Below are 25730 nucleotides of genomic sequence, written 5' to 3' on the forward strand. Positions count from 1 at the left end.
GTTCAAACATACACTTGCTGCAAGCCTTTTGTCCCAGAATAGCTTAATTCTACCTCACTGCCATGACTGACCTGGGCCAGTGCACTATGGCTGCTCTCCTGGTTTACTAATGACTCCTAAGATAAAACCCCATGCTTGCCTCTCAGTTCTCATTCATGGATATCCCTGCAGTATTTGTTCACCCTGCTTTTTGAAACTTGCCTTTTCCTGTCTTGATCTAATTCTAGTTCTTTTACCGTATCAGTCAATGGCTATTTCCATTTTCTCTATATTTGTTTTATTTATTATCCTACTTTATTGCAGAGTGATAGGAGATGGTGAACAGTAATAAATACATATACATATAATAGTAGTCAGTAACAATGAATAAAAGGAAAGAAACATGTATAAAGAGGTAAGAGCACAGTGCAAAAATATCAGATACTGATGCCTATTACAATCAAGCCCATATAGAGGTCTGAGCATACAGCTGGTCCTAGACTTTATTTTCTGCTATAATTTTACCCAACACTTTTGTCTCATCGAACCACTATGCAGATGGATCCCAGGATATTCTGCAAATATCAATCTCTGTTACTAACCTCCCACCAAGATTAGATCTGCATTTCCTTATTGGCTATGAAACACGTCCAAATTGATAACTTGACTCATTTCAAACTCAGCTCATTGCATAATTAACTTATAATTTTTATTTTGTTCTTACTCAGCTTCAAATTCTACCATTTACTTACCCCCTATTTAACACTAATGATCATCATTGCATTGTTCTGGGCCCTGGTGATACAATGGTAAACATACTTTTTCTGCTTTCAGGGAATTTAATGTTTAATGTGGCAAGTTGCCTTTATGGATCCACCCAACAGAGTTTCCAGGGAAACTGCAGACACAGCCTTGTCACGCTCAAAGACCTAGATCAGGATGAGCCTTCATATCCTCAACATGTTCTCCAGCCAGATAAAGAAGGCAGCTCAACCATCAAAAACTGGAAATGAGGAAATTCTATTCAAAACCAAAGGGTCAGAGATGAATGAGGTTTGTTTACAGATGTATTGAAAATGTAGCTAGTGGAGAAGAATATGCAGAACTTGGGCAAACAAACCAGGAATAATAAAAACTTGACCAAGAAAGGAATGCACATTTGCTATCCAGTAAAAATTAAAAGGTGATAGTTTATTATTGGTAAAATAACAGCAAGTGCATCCACATAAATTAATATCACTGTTATTTCTAAGCAGCAGAATGTGGATATGATGCTGGAGGGTACTGGAAGGACTCAAAGGAACAAATGACATAGGGATTAGGGCTATGAAAGTACCTGGACAAAGATAACATTTATGATCTGCAGCCAGTGGGTCAAAAGGTGTCTCCAAATGATATTGAGGCAACTGGCTGCCTATGGATGCTGGTGGAATCATGGTGGTGACATCCTCTCCAGGAAGGATTACTGCATGGAGAAATGCTCCACAGACCAACCCTCTGGGTGGCAAGTCCCTGGTGAAAGTCAGGCTGTACCATATGACACTTTTCCAGGGATCTGTCCAAAGACAGAGAGTGAGCCACTGGAAGTGCTGAATGGCAAATTTGGCCTTGTGACTAGATTTATTGTCAGGTAGTTATACTGGAAGAAGTCCACATACTAGAAGGCGGTATGCTATGACTGTTTTAGGAAATGTGAATTTCCATGAGAAGTTTCTAAGTAGCTTGTGTTTTGTGATAGGTGGGAACCAGATTTGGCTTGCATTGAGGACCTGTGCTATCTCCAGAGTCCTTATGCCCCACACTACACCCTAACTCCAAATTCCATGTCTCCAGCTCTCGGAAACACAGGCAGCTGAAAGCATTTCTGGAGTCTGCTCTTCCCAGTCCCAGCCACCATCACTTCCCTCTGTAGAGTCAAGACTCTTAGCTTATATTGTTTTCATTATGAATTGTAAGATACAGGTGGCTTCCTGGTGCTGGGAGGTAGATGCTCTTGTAAAGATGGCCCTGATAACTCCCTGCTCCTCACAAAAGAGACACAGAATTACAGGAGAAGCAATGCCTCTCGGGAGGGAATCTCTTTTCTCATCTTTGCCCACAGCCTGAGCTCTGAGTCCCTCTGTTTATTTTCTCTCAGTTTGTGCTTAAACTTGAATGTCCTACAGATCTTGGGTCTCTTTAAATCCTCTCCTGGTATCTGAGAGCCCTTGGCCTGGAAAGGTTGTGTTTCTCCTAGGGCTGGCTTCACAGTGTGTGCTCAGTGAGGTTGCACAGGGCCCAACACTTCAAAGGGCTCAGCATTTGAGGTTTAATGCTCTGGAGTGGCTGTCTTGAAATTCTTAATAAATTTATCTCTGAATTCTGTAAGTCAGTCAAATGGGACAATGGAGCATGCACTTGATCCAGTGGGGGCCTGGAGCCACAGCTCGCGATGCAGTCCTGTATACTGCCACCTTTCTGCCTTCCCAGGACAGGTTCTCAGCCATCCATTCCCCATTTCCAGGTGCCCCAGGTCTACCTGGCCTTCCTTACCCTATCCACTGCTGTGGCTGCTGTGGCTGTCCACCTAGGGCAGTGACAGGATTGTGTCTATGAGGAACACCTATGTTCCACCACTGGCAAGGGGTCTTATGTATGGGAAGGTTCAGAGTTAGAAAAGAGCTGTTCATGGCCTAAGCTGGTTGTGTCAGGACATAATTGGTTAGGTGAATTGGTGAGAGCTCTCGCCTACCCCTAATTTTTGGGTTGGGAAGGTGGGCATTTGGTTAGGAGAGGATGACTTCCCCATGCCTGGCAAAGGACCTGTATTCTAATTTTGTCCTAGGACCCACAATTTATGTGTCTTTCCTGGTCTCGTCTAGTATGCTATAGACAGTCCCTCTTAGTTGTGACTTTGACAAATCCTGTCCCTGAGACATCTTCTAACAGAGAGAGGAGAGGAATACTGACAAATGTATCTTGAGCTCTTAAAATTTGTGACATCCTGTGCCTAACACTTGCTATTAACAATCTCATTTCATTCTTACACAACCATAGCATAGAAATTCTCCAGTTAGTACCATTTTATAGATGATGAAACTGAAGCATGAACATTCCAGAAATTTCACAAAGTCTTATAGCCCAGAGGCTTCATATCTAAAATTCAAACCAAGAATCCTTTTATCAGAAATCCGTAAAGTTCTGCGTCATGTCAGATGTGAGCTGGACCAACACCAAAACAGAAAAGAAGTTTCACATTTCAGTTTGAAATGAAGATGTGGCTTTTTCAGTAAAGAGACTAGTATTTCCGTGGCTAACTGAATTAACCTGTGGGCTCTAGGTAAGTCCTAAGCACATCTGGGAAAGAATAAAAGGAATATTTAATTGACCTCAGGAGTGCTTTAGAAGATCATCCAGACCTATCAGGACATCTTCTCAGGGAGGTGGGATGAGATTTAGGAACCAACAAGCAGCCATATAATCTCGCCAAACCCATTAGTGGTCCTGACATGGCTGGAGACCCTGGGATCCTTTCTCCTGGCATGGTAGACTAAACCACTTGTTGGCTCTGTTCCCCACCCTGTGCCGCCTGGAGCAGGGGAAGCAGATGGTTTCAATACAGGCAGAAACAGCTGTTCCTCATATGGGGTGAGCTGAATCTTGATTGTTTTAGGTTCTGCTCTTTACATTGACCCCTCAATGGTCCTAGTTCTGAAGTATATAAGCGGGCCCTTTAAAAGACTTTCCTAAGGCCTGAATGTCAAATGAATCATAATCTAGGTAGCAAGATTGCTCCTAAATGGACATCACAGTGGCTGAAAACAATCAAGGGATGGCTGATTTAGTAGGGCCATGCTCAAATAGGGCAAGTCTCTCCCCAAGGTAACCAGAGACATCCTCAATGCATCAGCAATCTTGGAAGCTGTACTCATCTGAAAGTTCAGGCTTTGTTGGACAACACTCCTGTCCACTGGCACACTCACACACTCACTGCCATACAACCCTTTCTCAGACTGAGTCCATTAGTAGTATCTACCTGCCGTAAGCCCCTAGAATCAAAGATGCTATGTGGAAGGCTTGGACCCAAAGACAGCATTGGAGACTTGGTCTTAGGTGAGCAAGGGTTTAATCTGACTAGGACAGCCATGTCAGAGGCCACATCTGATAAGTGAATGAATTGCATTCCAGGCTCTCAACTTAGCATAGACCTCTTCACCTCATTATGCCTTGCATGGACATCAAACTGAACAGGTTCCCAACATTCTCTCCTGGGGAGAGCTTTTCTCTCCTTTGCCACAATGCTTAGGGTATTAAAGCTGTAGAGATGACCTCACTTTTAGCAATGAATCCCCCAAATGTGTACTTCCCAGCCAACCAGTTTATCACTTATCTATATGGTGATACACCCTTCTGTTATTTTCACCAAAGATCCTTGGCACAAACACTGAAGCCAAATTTCCCATACAATCCTAGAGTTTAAGTAGGATGCAAAGTCCTGTGTGGTTTCTCCATAGTGCAGTCTGTGATCATGGAAGGCTCAAGTTCCCTTCAGCACAGGGACCCAGGTTTGGGTATGCAGGTAGCTGAGTTTTTCCAGCTCAGACCATAATTGAACTGTGAATTCAGTCAGAACCTATTTGTAATTCACAGATTTATATACTACCCTCAGGGAATCAAGATGTTATTATTGTCACATGTGTAGAAATGTATTTATATGAAATCGTCTTCCTCTTCTCCGAGTTATTTTCCAGACTATTAGCAAAATTTACTCAGAAGTAAAAGGCACATCAATTAGCTGGGCGTGGCTGTGTACACCTGTAATCCCAGCTACTTAGGAGGCCAAGGCAGGAGAATCGCTTGAACCCAGGAGGTGGAGGCAGAGTGAGACTCTGTCTCAATTAAAATAAAGAAAAAAAGGAATATCAATTAACTTCTGAGCAGTGTTCCTGTCCATATAGAAAGGAAACCTAATCCTGAGATATAAGGGCAATTACTCAAGAGGAAGTTCCATCAAAGTTGAAGTTTGAATGGAATGAATGAGTTAGGTAAATAAAGGGTGAGAAGAAGCTAGCATGTGAAAAGGAGAAAGGTTTTTGGCAGAGAAAATGGCTAATGAGAAAGCCTAGAGGAGGGGAAGCATGGTGCATTTGGAAAATGGTAAAAAAGTCATGCTAATAAAAATGTAGGGCATGTCTTCAATTGTAACTGCATTAAGTGGAAGACAGATTGGTCATTTCAATCTCCCAATAGTTTTTATCCAAGAAGTTGTTTTGGTCATTGAGGTCAGGTTTCATTTTAGTTGAAATAATATTCCCAAGTTATAAGGATCCCCAAAACACAGAGCACTGGATTAAGAAATCAGGAAAAAGTCTGTAAGGGTAAAGGTGTACAGAATGGGATTGAGGATTGAGGGAAAGATTTAAATTTTGGGAAGGAATCCAACATAACAATAGATGAGGCATGTTGAGACTTAGCAATTTTTAAAATAGTTAGGTCTAGGAGTTAAGCTCTTAGCAGAGTCAGGTTCTGGACTGGCTGTACTACTAACGAAGTGCTGGTCCAGTTCTGGTTGCAATAGATCTGTCAATTTCTAGGACTTTCATTAGATTTAGATGCAGTTACATGCAGCCTCAGGTGAAAGGGTGACCTCTGGAAATTGAACCTGGAAATTTGGTTCAGATGTTACACTAATGTTCTCTAACACTCAGACTAAAAACTTTGTATGCACTTCTTCTTGTCACCTGTGGAATGCAATTACCAAGGTATGTTTCACTTCTTCATTGTCTCTTGGCTTTCTTCCATTACTTATTTTTTTTTGAGACGGAGTCTTGCTCTGTCGCCCAGGCTGGAGTGCAGTGGTGCGATCTCGGCTCACTGCAAGCTCCGCCTCCCGGGTTCAAGCGATTCTCCTGCCTCAGCCTCCCGAGTAGCTGGGACTACAGGTGCCCGCCACTGTGCCCTGCTGATTTTTTTGTATTTTTTAGTAGAGACGGGGTTTCACCGTGTTAGCCAGGATGGTCTCGATCTCCTGACCTCGTGATCCGCCCACCTCGGCCTCCCAAAGTGCTGGGATTACAGTCGTGAGCCACCGCGCCCGGCCTCTTCCATTACTTTTTATCCTGATTACCATAATTATCATTACAGGAAGTTTGTTATTTGTGGTCTATTGACCTTAAAATATTGTAGATAAAAGTACAATAAAGCTGTTATTTTATTAAAATTACAGAAAATTAAAACAAAACGGAGATGAATAGATTTGAAATTCAGTTATCTCATGTAACTCCTATTTATAATTACTGTTTTTTTTCTCTAAAATTTCGTTTCATACACCAGTTAAGGCAAGCTAATTTTGTTTTCTCGGTTTTCCTGCTTATTTGCCCCTTATTGCCTTTTCTCATACTATCTACTTAATAAGAAATTCTCTCTGTGATATGCACCCATTGTATTCATGCCTGTTATTCAATGTGCACGAAGCCTTTCTTAATATTTCCATTCATACATTATTTTTCTTTTCATTGATTCTCCATTACACTTTGCATATCTGTTAACATGCTAAAAACATGACGAACCCATGATATAAATGATTCACTTGTGTGAGATCCTATGAGGCGCCATCTGGAGTCCCAGGAAGGAATAAAATAGCCCTCATGTCATTCAAATTTAAGCCCTGCTTCATCTGAAAGCAAAGCCTTGCCTAGGGCACGCCCATTCCGTTACCTGCATCAGTGACTGATCAGAATGGGGTAAGGCACGCCATTCCCTGTTACCTGCATCAGTGACTGATCAGAATGGGGTAAGGCACGCCATTCCCTGTTACCTGCATCAGTGACTGATCAGAATGGGGTAAGGCACAAGCCATTCCCTGTTTCCTGCATCAGTGACTGATCAGAATGGGGTAAGGCACGCCATTCCCTGTTTCCTGCATCAGTGACCGATCAGAATGGGGTAAGGCACAAGCCATTCCCTGTTTCCTGCATCAGTGACTGATCAGAATGGGGTAAGGCACGCCATTCCCTGTTTCCTGCATCAGTGACTGATCAGAATGGGGTAAGGCACGCCCATTCCCTGTTACCTGCATCAGTCAGTGACAGATCAGAATGGGGTAAGGCACGCCCATTCCCTGTTTCCTGCATCAGTGACTGATCAGAATGGGGATATGAACATCCAACCTCCTTACTCCAAATGCAGACAACTTTGAAGTGTCATCTGAGCACAAGAGCTCCTTGTAGAGGAATGTCTGAGCACTTCATTGAAATTGTATCACAGCACAACTCTTCCCCCCACGTAATCCTGCCTCCTTTTTTCTTCTGCAGGTGTTAATCCTAAACATTTCTCCAATAAATGCTCTATGTGTTATCTTTCTCTCATAATGTGCTTCTTGGAGAATCCAAACTGTATTGCCATTCCTTCATTCAAATATATACGGAACTATTTGTAGGGCAAATAATAACTGTTTTGTACCCAAGACATAGTTCTCAATGTGGTTGAATAAACCAAGTGAAAACAAAAATTATCCTGCTCACAGGGATCTAGGATGAGAGATTAGTTAAATCCGTGTAAAGAAGGCACCAAGTGATTTACATGTATACAGATGACTGACAATGGAGGCTCGGATGTGGAAATCTCCTTTATATGTTTCCTATCTCTAAGATAAGAAGCTCTTTTAAGGCATGAGTATGTGCTGCATCTAGTGACCTGAAAAAAACTGACACTCAACACGTAATTGTTAAATTGATCTCATGTTGGTTTGCTCAGCAAAAAAAAAAAAAAAAAAAAGAAAGAAAGGAAAAAAAAATCCAAAAGAGGCTCCCACAAGAGAGGCTCCCTCTCGCAATGACTGAGAATAACCACCAATTAATTTGAATGACATTTTATCTGTGGGTTTATTTATTAAATACATTGCCTAGATTTATTGAAACAATAATTATAGCTAAATAACTGTGAGGCAAAAATGTCAGTGCTAAAACCTGAAAAAAGTGCTGAGGTTCACACTGAAAGGAACAACATTCATAATTTCAAAGACTCTCAGATTGATTGGTTCAGCTCCCAAGACAGGCAGGCACTGCCCTCCATTTATAATCACGCAGCAGCTATTATATTCTGTATTTTTTCAATTCTAATTTGCTTCATCTCTAACATAACCTCTCTGCAAGGCTATTGCACAAGACATTTATTTATCTAGTTTTACAGCAAGTTGTTTAAGAAATTTTGAGATGGTTATATGGGTCACTTAGCACTTAGTCTAAAGGAAAGAGAGTTGTGTGTCAGTGTCCTGCAGTATCATTTTATTTAAAGAAAAAAATACCTGTTTTTAAGAGAAGCAAATAGTAGTGTGGTTCAATAATCTGTATATGAAGATAAATAATTAAATTGTTAAATGTATTGCTAAACAACTATTATTTAAGTTTTGCTAGACGAATATAAGATAGCCAAAGTAATTTACAAAGAACTCGATTTCACTGAATGTTGGGATTTATTAAATACATTATTCTTTCTTTTAACACCATTCATCAATGTGACAAAGAGGTCGTAGAGAGATGTTTGTTTCAAGGAAGTAAATGTATGCATTGAAAACTAGAGAAAGAGAGTAATGGTGATTACTATTGATTTTCAGGAAACTGTATTCAGTGGTAGAATCAAAACTGAGCAATTACATGATTAAAATACATTTTGAATCCCCCAACATGAAAGCATGATAATCATAAGTTTGCATCCAGAGCCAATATGTCATAAACATTTGAATTTTATTCCTACACCTACCACCCCCTGCAAATGACTGAGGAAGGATGTGAGGTTTTATTTCTATTCTCTGCTGTTTGTTCAATTCCTTTTTGAATCTCTTAATTAAAGACAGTTGATTAATGACTCACAAGCACTTCATATATCAAAAATGTCAAAGCACATTATTACAAAGAGATGTTTTTATATGGTTAGATATGGACACCTACGTTTCTCTTTCATTCTGATAGGTCTGGCATCTACTTTGTTAAAATAGTTTTTCTTTCCTTATGAAATGCAAAAACAATCTGAAATGAAGACATCATTCCAAAGGCTCAGTGTTTCAAAAATAAAAATAATAATCACATGCACATTACATTAAGTACCTACTTACCCTTTTGTTCTAAGTGAATCTTGGCTCTGCTGAGAATGCTTCTCTTTCAATCCTCTCAAATGCTAATGTTTTTTTCTATCTTACATTCTTCATACTGTAGGACTCAGAGAGGAAGAAAAAGTTATTGCTCTTTATTGTATGTCAGACCTTTCTCTTTTCCTCGTGTTTTGAATCTCAGGTCACCTGACAATTCCAGCCAAAAATCTTTCCTTTTGCAGTCATTTTCCCAATAACCCCCTTTTTCCGACTCAAAAACACATTCCAAGGCTTTCTTGAAGATTTTTGTACCTGAGTCACTGCCATCTCCTCAATACCACTGCTGTTACAATTTATGTCTTATATGTCCATAACAATGATCCTTCCAATCAAATGGACTCTTACTATCTTGACTTTTTTTCTCCAGTAATCTTGATCTCAATTCTAATCAGTCTTTCAGGCTATTCCCATTTCTTACACAGATATAGGCCTTGCTGTCAGCAATAATGACAACTTTTTCCCCACCCCAGGATCATTTATACATTATACATTATACATTAACTCTCTAAACATCACCCTTTATCTTTCCAGAACATTTCCCAAAATACCCAGCCTTTCACACCTCGACGGAATCTTACATGCAATTTCCCTGGTACATTTTCATTGAGAGTTTGCTTCCCATGGTCTCACGCTCTTCTCAAAAAAGTTAAATCCCATGGTTCATCCTTAAACACCATAGCTGAATCGTTTAACTGTCTTTGGATCCCTTCTTTTATTTTGCTTCTTTGGCAATAATCTGACACTTTATTTATCTCTATATAGTTGAATGTGGCTGGAGAAAAACACTAAACAAGGTAGTCTGGTACCCCATTACTTTCATGCCATTTACCTAAAGTGGACTACAGTGACTCCCAGCCACAGTCCAGCATTTCCCTGGTCCAGTCATTCTCCCAGTCTACTAGACGGCTGCTTCATTACCTTGCCCACTGTCTTCAAACCTCCAACCCTACACGAAATACTCACATCTGATGATTTTGCTTCCCTTCATACTGAAGAAAGAAAAATACAAAGAAGATTCAAAAATACACAAGCTTTCACTACTACTTTGACCCAATGAACTGGATCAGTGCATTACATTGTTTTACTCTCTTGTCTCTTTAGATAAAATATCTCAGCTCCTATAAAAAAAATAAACATTTACCTCCATTTTGAACTGATTCCATTCTCATCTTCTCAATGACATTATCCTGGAAACTCTCTATATAGCTCTACATTTTCATGCTCAGGGAAGTATACCCAGTGAGGCATAAAAAATACTTTCAATATCTACAACCTGAATCAGTCAAATCAGCTATAATGGAAAATACTTCACTCACAGGAAGAAAGTAACCACTCGATGCCCATTATTTTCACTGATCCAATCAGTTCTCCGGCTGCACTAGTCGAATAGGATAACCTTAATCTTAGACTGGTGAGCAATTTATGGTACTTTGATATCTTCCTTTTAGGAGCTTTGGGCATTTTAAATTGATCATATAGTGCATGGCATGCAGCATTAGAACAAAATTAGAATAGATTTGAATATTAAGCAAAGGGACTGGAGCAGAGGCCCAGATATCACCACTGGAGGCATCAAAGGGATAAAACTGTACTTCATCTCCTCCACAGGAGCATGCAAGCGTTTGTGGTTGTAGGTGGGTGCCTCTGTACTCTCTCCCAAACAGCAATCCTTTCTGCTGTTACAAAATGCAACTATTCCTTTTGGGGACTTCCAAGTCCTTTATGGTCAGTCCATATGTTGTGATTGCACTGACCACAAAGGTGATCATAGGAAAGCGTATAACTGAGGATAGACCAAATAAATTCAGTCTTATGATTTTATCTGGTATAATCAGAAGAGAGGAAGACTTTTTCACTGGAGATGGCAAGATAGTGGAGTACATATATGGTGTTTCCAGCGACTATTTTTTACTACTATATGTAAAGAGACATCTGTTAATGAAATCAGTAGATCTAAAAGATAATGAAAGACATTGCTGAGGATATTATTTGAGCATCTGGACTTGGTGCTTTCTAAGTCATTCTTCCCTGAATTTTCAGTTGATTGTGACAAGAGTTCAAATTTGAGTTAAGTTTCCATCGTTTAATCAAGAAAGAGTCTTGATTAATCCAGATATAAAGATAAAATAGAAGAGAAATGGACGGTATCCAAACAGGCTAAAGTGATAGAATAGTGGCTTCATGGCATTGTTTCTGTAAGTAACAGCTGACCAACAATTGTTATGGTTCTACATTATTTGTGGTTATACACAAGATAGTTTGAGTTTGGCATTTGGAAAAAGTTTTCCCTTTTACAATTTGAAAAAAGAAAGTATTTATTTAAACAGCAAATAGTAGACTTTATTAAACCATATGACCAACTCACTCATCAACCTCTTTACCTGACCTTTTTAGATAACTTCTCCCTCCCTAATTTTCAGAGCACCCACATTACTTAAATTGCTGTTGCAAGAACTGATAATTGTGGAGGTTATTGGTTATTGGTTTAGGAAGAGAAACTGAATAAATCTGAGCTGATTATTTCTCCTTCTGCAAAGTACGTCCTTCTGGTCAATCCTATTTATTCAATAATTGGCTCCCAGCTGAAGTTGAAGATCCTTTCAAAGGAATTTAAAACTTGGAATTAGGGAGAGAAAATTATTTGGGGGGTATAGTTGCACTGAAATATCTACATCTTATGTGTTTTTGGTTGCCTTATTCTAATGTGTAGAGAGATAGGTTGAGAAGAATGGAACAAATTGCAGAGACATCCCAAAGAAAGGCTATGATGACCTCCTTGTTTCCCCACAAGATCTAGGTCTCCAGTTGTATTCCTGAGGCCCTGAATGGGATTTCCTAAAACACTTCACCATCCTTTTAATAAATTTATTTTTCTGCTTAAGTTTTAGTGAAGTTTATTTTATTTCAACCAAAAATAGTCCTAATCGTAGGACAATTTACCATGTGTCAGTAAAGCATAAGATGCAGTAAGCTGATAGATATAAATAGTGGCATAAAAACTCTGTCTCAATAAAAGCATTTGATCAGATTTGTCATGATGTTTTTATAAACAAGAGGAGAAATTGGGATGATTTAAATCAGGGACTGTTCTTACCATTTCTGTGACAGTGAGTAAACGATGCTGGTTAATGATGCCAACTTTTTGATAGTTTACAGCCTTATGTTACTGGGTTGCACTCTCAACTTTGTCTCAACAGTTTTTAGCTTAATAACTTGAGTGAGGATATTGATAGCACGTTCATCGAAATCAAACATAACAACAAATGGGAGGTTAGTAGAATTTTTATTTTTTTTAAAAAAATAGCATACTGAACAGTATATTAAAATTTGAGATAATTATAAACCCTTTAATTATAACAAAAAAATCCCCAAGACAAATACAAGATAGGAATAGATGAATCTAAATAGCAGAATATGTAAAATAGTATTGATCATTTTGAATAAAATTAAGCTCACTTACTTCAGCAATATGATAAAACTATTAGAAATGCTCAAGCAGTGTTCAGCACTATTGATAAATGTATTGTGCCCAGGATAATGTCATAGTTAGAAGATAAATGAAAAGAGTCTTTAAGTAATAGCCTAATATAGTGGAATATATGTTGAGAATAATCATCTGGTTTATGAATTTGTAGTAAATATTGCATGTTTAGAACCAACCATTGAAATATTAGGATTGGTTATTGCGATAGTACAAATACTAAAAGAAAGTTGTAGAAGGAAGACCTAAATGTGGGTAAACTTCGTTAGCTGAATTTTTTTTATTATACTTTAAGTTCTGGGGTACATATGCAGAACGTGCAGGTTTGTTACATAGGTATACGCGTGCCATAGTGGTTTGCTGCACCCATCAACCTGTTCATGTACAAAATGTATAATTACATATCTGGCCTATTTACTCACTTACACCATTGAGCCCTACTATAATGATTGCAAGTTCATTTTAAAAAACCTAATCTAAAATGACAAAGGGAGAAGATATCAGTAAAATAACATAATACAGCTTTGAAAGATGGGGACATTTAATAGAGGGAGTAGTTAAAATCTAAGACCTACAAGAAGGATCTACAGGAAGAGGCTACACATGGTACCTACCCAATTTTCCCCCTAAATCCCTAAGAGGCTCCAGACTTCAACTGTCAGGTGGACCAGTGAGGTGAAATGGAATTAGAATGGAAGACAGACAGGAAATAAGTGTCAAATTTATGTTAAAAAACAAACCAGTGCATGCCTACGCCTAGCCACCTTTTCCTCACAGTTGGATGATAATCTTTTCATCTAACCTGAAGATTTTTGCTGTTTTCAATTAATGATTAATGAATTAGTTAATTTAATGCATTTGTCAAGCTATGGAGAAGGTGACAGCAGAATGAAAATATAAATCTTGCTGCTATGGGTCTGGACACAAGGCAATTAAATTCAAGTTTACAAACAAAACTTTGGAAGCTTTTGCCACCTTCTCTGCAAGAGAGATTGATACATACTATCTCCATTACACAAACTGGAAAAAGGTCTCTCACCTTTTTCTCATTAATGTACTATCATTAATGTATTATCATTAATGTACTATCTCTCATTACACAAGCTGGAAAAAGAAACCAGAAGAAGCATTCTTGGAAAATAAAGTTATAACATGGAAAAAAAGGAACCATGGTGGTGTGCTACGTGCGTATAAACAATATGTGCATAGTCATGATATTCTAAACGTTAATTCAACCATTGATTATGATATTGGTATAAAAGAACAATGAAAGTTGGGAAATTGAATTGAAAGTACTTTAAGTTTTAGCTTTTTTTACATCTCCACCTTACCACATACAAATATTTTCTCTTCCCCATACTCCTAGTATAAACATACTATAAGGTTTGTCCAATACTTATTGTTTAAATAATTATGGCTACCTAAATATGTTTATTACCAAGTTGCTAATGTACTTCCATTCTTATTTATTGCTTTTGTTTTACTGGTGTTATCAATTTTGCTTATTTGTTTGGTTAATTTCTATTTTCTTATTACTAAATCACTTTCAAACTTTCTAATGGAATTCTAAAATGGCTAGCTTTTTCTTAGTACAGTTCAAAAATTCATATAGTACATAAATCTATAAGGTATCATTGGTTCCATTTTGTCTTCTTTCCTTGATGGTTTTCTTCTTGAAGTTTTTCATTATCATGTTCCAGACTGAGCTGGCTGATCTCCAGCTGGCCATACTGCTGTTATTCTGGGACTTCTCTTTCCCATTTATTGTGGAATTCTTTTTGTGTTTCTTCTCTGTTGGCTAACCATTTCTTGGCTATCATGTATTTGTCTTTCTTGGGTTTGTCTCTAAATTTGGTGGAGCATAACCTTCAGAATCTTCCTGAGAAAGAGTGCTTAAGAAGTAAACATTCTCAGGACTTACCTGCCTAAAAATGTCTGTACTTTGCCCTTTCCCTTAATTGACTTTTTGGATGTGTAAACAGTTCTAGATTGAAAATCATGTAAGCCATTATTTTATTGTCAGCTTCTAGTATTGTTAAAAAACAATCATCCCAGTTTACATATTCTTGCTTTTTTCTTTATAGAGGTTCCAGTTTTATTTTTTTCCCATTGATTTTGTTAATTTGATAATTTTTTTTCCATTAAACATAAATTTTCTTAGTTCTGGAAAAAGTTATTTTATTATTCCCTTGCTATCTTTCTCTTCTTAATGTATTCAGTTTCCCTTCCTTTGGTATATCTATAGATACATCTCTTGATTTCTCTTCTGTTTTTTTCTTTTATTTTCTCTTCAATTTTCAATTTCTATTTTCGGTGAGAGATTATTTTCTTGAGCTATGCCCCAGATGAAAATATCACCCTGTAGTTGTAAATCTTTGCTTTTCTCTCCATATCCTAACTCTGTTGTTTTTGTTGTTTCTTATCTGATTTCATAAAGTCAGGGGCTTTGTCTCCTTTGTACTATGCCTGTTATATAATATAACTTCAAGAGCCTCAAGAGCCTTTTTTTAAGTAACATTATCTCTTAAATGTATTTCTAAATTTTTTTGGTTAAAAATTCCCATTGTCACATTTTTAATTTCCAGTGGCTTTTTCTTTATTCTTTGAATGTTCCTTTTATAGCAACCTGTTGTTTTCCTATGGATAGAATAATACCTCTTCTCTTTTAAGGATATTATTAGGTTTTATAAGTTTCCCTTTGCTCACTTTACAGTCTAATTCTTTTCCACTGAGTTTATTTTGCTGCCTATTTGATTGAATTCAATCTTCGTGTTGTGTCCTTTCTCAATATTTGGTGATCTTGGCTTTCTGTTTATATTTAAGAGAAGGGTGAAAAAAAATACATATCTGACATGAGACCAGTATGAATGGGCTGGGATTATGGGCTGATAAGCCTAAGGATCACCTGTTGGTAAATGGGCACTCCACTTAGATTCCCTTAAACGTCAGTATCATATGTAATTTCTCTCGTACTAGATGTCCATATTTTTCCTGGGTTCTGAAAGCCTTATTTGGAGTTTTCTGAGGGTTCATTTGGGGAAAAAATAAAAACAAAAAAATGATAAAAAAATAAAACCTTAGATTTTCCCTAGTATATATGTAGACATTCTTAAAGTTCCCTTATCTTTAGTAGATACTTCACCCCTGCAGTTACGGGGACCTGGTAGCTCTGAGTTTAAGTCTTTATGACTAAATCTTACCAGAGAGTAAATTTCCTGCCTCAGAATAGACTGACTCAATGAGTTGGCTGAAAGTTTCCAATATTCTATTTGCTGTTTTTGCAGGCTTTTAATCATTAATCTTATTTTTTTTTTCAACCTTACCAGCACCCATTTCTGCAGAAATACTAGTTCTTTTAGTTCTGAGTTTCTTCTGGGTTTAGAGGTGCATCACTTGGCTTTTTATTGGCAGTAATGTTTCAGATTTGCCTACTCTGATAAGTCAGTATCTTCTCATCTTCCTAGTTTTCAGCTTCAAAACATTGTTGCTGTTGTTTATTTATTATTATCACTCTATATCCAATTTGCTCAGTCTTCTTTAATGGCTTACCGGAGCTTTTAGGGGTTTAGTTAAAATGAAATCATGTGTTCTTTTTGCCATTTTTTTATTGTCAGTCTAAGCCTAGAAATACCATTTGACCCAGCCATCCCATTACTGGGTATATACCCAAAGGATTACACATCATGCTACTATAAAGACACATGCACACGTATGTTTATTGCAGCACTACTCACAGTAGCAAAGACTTGGAACCAACCCAAATGTCCAACAATGATAGACTGGATTAAGAAAATGTGGCACATATACACCATTGAATACTATGCAGCCATAAAAATGATGAGTTCATGTCCTTTGTAGGGACATGGATGAAGCCGGAAACCATCATTCTCAGCAAGCTATCGCAAGGACAAAAAACCAAACACTGCATGTTCTCGCTCATAGGTGGGAACTGAACAAAGAGAACACTTGGACACACACCGGGGCCTGTTGTGGGGTCGGGGGAGAGGGGAGGGATAGCATTAGGAGATATACCTAATGTAAATGACGAGTTAATGGGTGCAGCACACCAACATGGCACATGTATACATATGTAACAAACCTGCACGTTGTGCACATGTACCCTAGAACTTAAAGTATAATTTTAAAAAAAGAATCAATAAATACCAAAAATTTGAAAAAAAAAAGAAATTAGAAATTAGGCTTAGGAAAAAACAGCTAAAATGCTTCAAAGTAGCTGTTTCTATAGCTAGAGACTGTGGTTATAATATTGTCCTTGATTTTATAGAAGTCTTTTAGTAAAATGTGACATCTATTTTCAAATAATATGAACATATTATTTTGATAGAAAAATTAATGATTTAATTAAAAAACTGGTAAAAATTGTATTTTTTGAACTTTGCAAGTTGTTTTTTCATTGCAATTTTCAGACATGGTTGGACCAAAAAAAAAAAACTTTTTTAAAAACAATTTGCTGGTTACATAAAAATCATTCCCTAATATCAATTTTTGAATAATCACATAAAAAATGAATTAGTTGCAAGGTGGTTCTAACAGAGGCAGGGATTTAAGCTTGTCAATCCTTCTTCTTCTCGGAATTATATATAGAATTTAGCAAAGAAAATTTTAATAGAATCAAGTATTTTTATTAATTATTGTGAAGTTTACACCTAGAAAGCTTAGATAATAGGAGCTCAAATCAAGCTTTCCTTGAAGTGTCTGCAGAGATATTGATACTGCATGCTTATAGTCTAATCTGAGTGTTCCAAAGAATGAAGTAACTGACCAGACTTTGGTTTCTGCATTTGAAAATTAGCAACTCACTGTAGGTTCAATACGTTTTGACAGATTGGCTTTTGTATTTTTCCCAAATATTAAAACATAGCTTGAAAAATATTGAATGATTGATTCTACTTTTAAAAGCTCAGTTAGTATGAAATGCCAGAGATTGCTGAATGTCTAAAGACATTCAAATACATTGGGGGATGGAAGAAGCCTTACCTGCTTATAAGAGAGTATGCCTCTGGCCAGGCGCAGTGGCTCACTCCTGTAATCCCAGCACTTTGGGAGTCCGAGGCAGGTGGATCACTTGAGGCCAGGAGTTTGAAACCAGCCTGGCCAACATGACAAAACCCCGACTCTACTAAAAATACAAAAATTAGCTGGGCATGTTGCCATGTGCCTGTAATCCCAGCTACTCAGGAGGCTGAGGTGGGAGAATTGCTTGAAAATGGGAGGCAGAGGTAGCAGAATTGCTTGAACATGGGAGGCAGAGGTGGCGGTTGCAGTGAGCAGTGATCTCGCCACTGCACTCTAGCCTGGGTGACAGAGCGAGACTCTGTCTCGGGAAAAAAAAAATAGTAATGTGTGCCCAAAGACTTTTTCATGAGCAAACTAATAAACTAGACAACCAACCAACCAGACAGTCAAAAGACATACGTGTGTTTTATTATTATTATTATTATTATACTTCAAGGTCTGGGGTACATGTGCAGAATGTGCAGGTTTGTTACATAGGTATACATGTGTCATGGTGGTTTGCTGCACCCATCAACCTGTTACCTACATTAGGTATTTCTCCTAATGCTATCCCTCCCCTAGCCCCCGACACCCCAACAGGCCCTGATATGTGATGTTCCCCTCCCTGTGTCCATGTGTTGTCATTGTTCAATTCCCACCTATGATTGAGAACATGTGGTGTTTGGTTTTCTGTTCTTGTGATAGTTTGCTGAGAATGATGCTTTCCAGCTTCATCCATGTCCCTGCAAAGGACATGAATTCATCCTTTTTTTATGGCTGCATAGTATTCCATTTTCTTTATCCAGTCTATCATTGATGGACATTTGCATTGGTTCCAAATCTTTGCTATTGTGAATAGTGCCACAATAAACATATGTGTGCATGTGTCTTTATAGTAGAATGATTTATAATCCTTTGGGTATATACCCAGTAATGAGATTACTGGGTCAAATGGTATTTCTAGTTCTACATCCTTGAGGAATCGCCACACTGTCTTCCACAATGGTTGAATTAATTTACCCTCCCACCAACAGTGTAAATTGTTCCTATTACTCCACATCCTCTCCAGCATCTGTTGTTTCCTGACTTTTTAATGATCACCATTCTGACATGAGATGGTATCTCATTGTGGTTTTGATTTGCATTTCTTTAACGACCAGTGATAATGAGCATTTTTTCATATGTTTGTTGGCTGCATAAATATCTTATTTTGAGAAGTGTCTGTTCATATCCTTCGCCCACTTTTTGATGGGGTTGTTATTTTCTTGTATACTTGTTTAAGTTCTATATAGATTCTGGATATTAGCCCTTTGTCAGATGGATAGATTGCAAAAATTTTCTCCCATTCTTTAGGTTGCCTGTTCACTCTGATGATAGCTTCTTTTGCTGTGCAGAAGCTCTTTAGTTTAATTAGATCCCATTTATCAATTTTGGCTTTTGTTTCCATTGCTTTTGGTGTTTTAGTCATGAAGTCTTTGCCCATGCCTATGTCCTAAATGGTATTGCCTAAGTTTTCTTCTAGTATTTTTATGGTTTTAGGACTTATGTTTAAGTCTTTAACCCATGTTGAGTTGATTTTTGTAGAAGATGTAAGGAAGGGGTCCAGTTTCAGTTTTGTGTATATGGCTAGCCAGTTTTTCCAACACCATTTATTAAACATGTTCTTTTTATTTATAATTTTATTCCTATCTCAGGAAACTGTGCTTCACATTGGCCACACGTTTTTCAGTGCAATGTGTTATGTGACTTGGTCAATATTGCCTGGTCATTAGTGAGGTCTGCATTTTCTTTTCTTCCTACTCTTCCTACTCTTCCTTCCTTCCTCTTTCTATCCTACTTCCTGCTCTTTCTGAACATTGATTCCTTCACTTCCCATCTCTAATATTTAATGGCACAGCAGAAACAGTGAGGCTTTTATTTATATTCTTTTCAGTGAGGAGAGAAAAAACAATTCCTAACTGAAAACTTAGTAAAGTAGGAGGCCCATATAATAAGTCAAGTCTTCAAGGAATCAGAGAGAACCTAACTAATAATCTGGCCTTTCCCTTTGTTGGCGGGACCTTGCAATTTGGAAAATGGTGGCCTATTCATTCACTCAGCAAGGGTGAATACAGCACATATATAAGGTAGTGATTATTTTAGCATTCATAGCAAATGAATATCTTGATTCCCAATAAATGCCTGGCATCTCATTTTGTATCAGTGAAATATATGTAAGACTACTTCTGAATGATACATGATTGACTTTTTATATTTGAAAGAGTGTGGACAAGGGATTTTCTGAACACTTTGTGACATGGTTACTTTTTTAAATGGTAAATTTATGGTAATTTTCAAAATTGTGAAGAAGTCTAGAAAAAAGTAGCATTGAAATATAAAAGGATGTTCTCATTAAAACTTTGAGAAGCATATCACCTTGATTTAAAATTTAAAATGAATTATTTAAAGTATTTCTTCAGACTCACAGACCCTATCCTCTTGCCTAATCTTATTTTAGAATTTCCTGACTTAAGTAGAAAAAGGCTGTATTTTGAACTCTGTTCAAAGGTTAGGTTTTGAAGACCTATGGTTCTTCAGGTTAAATATGATGATTATACATAATATCTATCAACATTAATTTTAGAATTTGACTTATTTTTTAAAATCTACATGGATAGATTTACTTTTGTATTGGTAAACAAAGAACCTAATTACATGTGCTTTCCCAAGTCTATGGTTTCCATATTTGATTGTTTCATGTGAAAATGCATATTTTAAGATTCATTCTTACATTCACAGATGTATGTAAAACTATCTTGCTTGAAAATAGTGGGAGTGTCTCAAGGCATAAATGCACGTTTGATCATCATATTTGGTCTCCATTTTAAAGATGGCATTGCTTTGTATTTACTAAGAAAACACTGTAAATGTTCAGATTATGAAAGAGACAATTTTAGTTATTTAATTAAATTAACTTCTTTAAAGAGGAAGTGAAGGGTAGATATTTTTAAAATTATTCTTTAAAAATTCTAAAACAGATTTAGCATTTGTTTAGCATTTGTTTAAAAATTTCTAATTTTCTCAAAATATATATGAACTGAACATTTTATTAAGAAATTGTTTTAATTACTTAGAATCAGAACAGAATGCTAATAAACAATTTACAACCTTAGAATAATATATTTAACATAATTGAGTCTTTTGTTTGTTTGTTGATTTGGTAGCTGTTAACTTTAAGGTGCAGATGGTGAAATAGACTCTAACAGTGCTTTATTGCTCACACTGTCTCTAGAGTTTTAAGTTCCAATTGCACCTATAAAAAGGGGTAATTAGTCCTTTCTGTTTTATTGCTGTTAAGGGAAAAAAAGCTGTTTCAGTTAACTGCCAACTGGATACTATTCTAGATTAAAATCCTGGTATCAGTAACTTCTTCTCCTTTTCAAATTCCAAGTCAAGAGTTCAAAACATGTGAGAAATGTCACCTTCTTAAATATTACGGTCTATTAATTATGTCCTTGTAGTGAAGTTTATTGGTGCAATTAGTCGACAGGTAGGAATATCAGTCTTTATAAAATTATATGTGGTGGGGACAAGGTTAATACTAATTTCATAGGCATTAAGGATATATTTGAGTGTATTCAGAGATAAGCGAACCATGATATTAGTAAAATGACATCTTTTGATTTGTTTAAAAGTTTGAAAATAAGAACATACTCAAAGACTATTTTTCTTCACAAATCCAGTAGTGTTGGCAGATTGAAAATGTGTAATTATAATTATTTTCCATTTAGACATGTATTATTTTGATAGCAATTTCTCAGTAATATCAAATATAATTACCCAACTCTAGAAAGTAATTTCATTTCTCCCTACCTAGACATGTGGCTATAATATAAAAAGAATGATAAACATTTTGTTTTAATCAAAAGTACAAATTAGGTATTCTAGCTTCCAAAATAATTTTCAAGCATGTCAAAAAAATTCATGTCAAGTATTAGCTTAATTATTTTTAACTTTAGTGTTTAGTGCCTTATAGGTAAAGTGGCTTAATTCACAGAGGCTTTGAGATATTTCTGCATAACTTTTACTATTTCAAGATGTGAAAACAAAGAATCCCAAGGAAGATATATAAATTGAAAGGATCAACATGCCACATAACCAGTGATGGCATTAGCATTTGTTTGTGAATTATATTAATGGTTATAATTAGGATAATTTGAGCTTTTACATTAGTATAATGACAGTTTACTTGTAATGTTTTAGTCTATGTTTTAATTCCACCAACTGTGAAATGGAAGAAAATGTCAATACAAAGAACAAAGCAGAATTTGCATAGGAATGGAAACAACTACATCAAGACAAATGAATCTTGAATTAGCTCATGAGCTGAATAATGTCATGAGTTTTTGTACTTGTAAATTTATTTTTTAAATCCATATGTAACACGAAAGATTGATAAAGACAGCTGCAATTTTAATTCAAATAAGATCAGCTATTTGGCAGAAGAGGCAGAGGAAAGAAAAATAGATACAATGATTTAAGTGAAGTGAGAAAATCAAAGACAAAGTGAAGCACAATGAAATCATCATGTAAAATACACATTAAATGTAACTTCATTCATTTTAGAAAAAAAGTTTGCTTAGTTTGCTTTTCAATGTGTCTAGCATAGTTTATATGTATTAAAAAGTTTTCTTAGCTATCCTTCAATGTGGACATAAGAACATTAGAGGTAAAAACAATTTTTGCTTAATTTCCTGTTTAAGGAAACTTAGTCCTGTTTTTGTGTTGGTCAGCATTATGCTATCAGCACAATCTATTTTAGGCTATGTGCTATTTTGCCTTTTTTTTAAGAGACAGAGTCTTACTCTGTCACCCGGGCCAGAGAGCAGTGGTGTGATTATAGCTTACTGCAGCCTGAAACTCCTGGGCTCAAATCATCCTCTCACCTCCGCTTTCTTTCTGAGTAGCTAGGACTACAGGTGCATGCCACCACACCTGGCTAATTTTTATTTATTGATTGATTTTTGGTAGAGACTAGCTCTCGCCATGTGGCCCAGGGAAGTCTCAAACTTCTGGCCTCAAGTAATTGTACCTCAGCCTCCCAAAATGCCGGGATTACAAACATGAGACACCATGCCCAGAGTATTTTACCTTTTATGACAAAATCTCCCCCTGGCATACTAATTCCTACTTGGTTTCTCTAGTCCTCATTCCCTGTTGTGCTATACCTAACCCAGCAACCACAGCTCAACTGATCACATATCTACACTAATTATTAATAGGGGCCATCTACAAGTTGCCTGGATCTTACCTACTATCTATTGACAGATGCCTACAATACCAGCTCATTCACCTACCAGTGTTTCAGCTGGATTGTTTTCACTGAATCTGCTTGTTGTTGTCTTGTGTGAAAGGTCCGCTACAGTTAAGGGCTGCCTGCCAAGCTGTTCCTGTAGCCACTGCTGTTAGGCTCATAAATTGCCTTCTCTGTCTTAGTGGGGGGTTTCCCACTCTATTGTTAAAAGCATGCCCCACTCCGTTGCTTGATGAAATTCAATTTTATGGACAATATTCACTGATTCAAAAATAGTTATTGATCTCCTTTCTAAGCAGTTATAGGTGCTAATTATATAATGATGAACAAATAGACATAGTACCTGCTTACCTGAACCTTCATTTTAGTGAGCTGTATTATACACACATAAACAGATAAGTACATATGTAATTAAGATCTTAATGTCATAAAAAGATAACAACCTGGATGTTGTAATAAAGAGTATGAGAAATAACTGAATTTGAGAGGGCAGTCTCTGTAATTTAGACTTTTTGAAGAATTATCTATTATTATAATTAATACAATTAACAATCATAATTATTATATTATTACTATTATTATTATTACAATATAATAGTTGTGGACATTTTATTGAAGTAAAACTCTAACAAGTGACCTTTATTGGGAGCTTAAAATATGCTACATACTCTTCTAAATGTCTTATATACATTAAATCATTTAATACAGCAAACACATCTATGAGAATGGTGATAATACCTCTGTTTTTACAAGTGAAGAAACTGCAATACAAAGATGATGTCACCTGCCTAAGGCCACACTGCTAGTGAAAGTTTGAGAGGGAATAGAGCGAAGGTCATCCAGTGCCAGTGCCCGTATTTTTACCACAATGCTATACCACCTGTCAAGAAGCTGAGACCCAAACCTCACCTGAGTTGAAATTTGCAAAATAATAAGAATTCTGCCAGTGTACTGTAAATAGAAGGAAAAGCACAGGAAATGACAATCACATGGATTAGATCTGGAACGTAGTGACTATGGGTGTGGGCAGAGTAGCTCAAAGTAAGGACTAAGGCATGTTCACAGGTAGCAAGGTACTCTTAGCAGGCCATTCACTTGATCCACTTTATGTCTTCCTATTTGATTTGCTTTGCTTTATTTAGCTTTGCTTAATCATTCCAAGGTTTTGCAGAGAATATTAATTGGGAGGAAGCAAGGACAAATTGTTCAAGAAGAATTAGTGTAGTTTAAGAAAAAAACAGTGATGATCTCCACTAGGGTTGTAGCAGCAGAAATGCAGAAAGTTACGCAGAACAGAATTACATTTGAAAGAACAATATATATGTGGGACTATGTGGGAAGCTCTTATCTAATAGGTACAGATACATTAAAACTAAAATAGAAATCCTTTAGGAACATTAAATATTCTGGATTTTAAGAAAATGGGCCAATACTTTTGCTAACTGGATGAGTGTGATAGCTAACTAATACAGTTATTAATAGAGGTAACTTCTGAACCTGTTGAGAAAAAAATAAGCAAAATAATAAAAAAGTAAAGACTTATAAACATATAGATTAAGGAAAACAATAGTATAAAAATATTTTTGTAAATTTTTCTGCATGCTTATATTATAAAATAAACGTTAAAAATATTAAGAACTTACAGACGTAATTAATAGCAAGAGGTTTAAATAATTAATCATTCCAGATTCACTTGACAGATTTAAATATAATCACAGAATTAGTGGGGGAAAGAAATGGAGTAGCTGTCACATACTTGAACACTGAGAAAGCATTTTATACAAACTTTAGAAGTTTTACTTGCACAATTAATGCAATAGACTGAATGTGTACCCCTCATCCCCAATATTCATATGTTGAGCCCTATCCCCCATTGTGATGGTATTTGGAGATAGGGTCTTTGGGAGAATATTAGATTTAGATGAGGTCATGAAAATGGGCCCTCACAATAATAAAGAATGGGTGCCCTTATAAGGGATAAGCACACTTATGAGAGGAGGAAGAAACAATATGGCTGGCTGTCTCTGCCATTTGAGGACACAGTGAGAAGGATGTCATCTCCAAGCTGGAAAGGGAGCACTAACCAGAACCCAACCATAATGGCCACCTGATCTCTGACTTCCAGCCTTCAGAATTGTGAGAAAATAAATCTCTGTTGCTAAAGTCACCCAGTCTACAGTATTTTGTTATGACAGCCCAAGCTAATTGAAACCGTCAATTTTTTAGAAAGATAAAAATAAAGTGAGTAACTTTAGATAGAGACAAATGGCCAATACCAATCCAATGAAGATTATTTTTGGTAGTTTTAGATCTAAGATTATTTGAATCTAAATTAAACTAATAATAAAAAAATCAATTCAACTTGGAATACTCTAGGCATTATGCTTAAAGGCTTCAAGAAGTGACCCATACCAATGTATCTGAGAGGTCAAACATTTTACTTGTATGAATAGACTAGGTGTCTCTAAGGGAAAGTGAAAGTTGGAATTAATTTGAGAAAATTGCTAGTTTCCAGAGAACAGCAACAATACTTTCAACATAAATATTAATGAGTAGCATAAGTATGGGAAACAACCCTACTGAGTATGGGAATGGATTGAGAATCTTTCTAAATAGTAAAACAATTAGTAGTAGTCAGATTGATGAGAACAGTATATGTACAGATGTCTGTTTTCCAAGGTATTAGACTGATATTAGCAAAATATCCATTCTTAAGAACAGCTTACTCCTTTGAAACATGGCATTTTGAGGACTGTCATCCTATACTTGGAAGATGCTAATGTTTTAGCATCTTGGCAATGCTTGACATTCTTGAGGAAATTTTAAATTATATT

The 25730-nt window shown here is 36.5% G+C and overlaps 1 long non-coding RNA gene across 1 annotated transcript in view; it reads right to left on the minus strand.

Annotated features, from left to right (window-relative positions):
- Positions 1-25730, minus strand: part of MIR548XHG (MIR548X host gene) — a 198548-nt gene that overhangs the window by 19192 nt on the left and 153626 nt on the right. Inside the window, exon 3 of the long non-coding RNA NR_109925.1 lies at positions 9071-9164. This is a non-coding gene — a long non-coding RNA (MIR548X host gene). The remainder of the gene's footprint in view (positions 1-9070; positions 9165-25730) is intronic.

Source organism: Homo sapiens, chromosome 21 (genome assembly GCF_000001405.40).
Source record: "Homo sapiens chromosome 21, GRCh38.p14 Primary Assembly".
Lineage (NCBI taxonomy): Eukaryota > Metazoa > Chordata > Mammalia > Primates > Hominidae > Homo > Homo sapiens.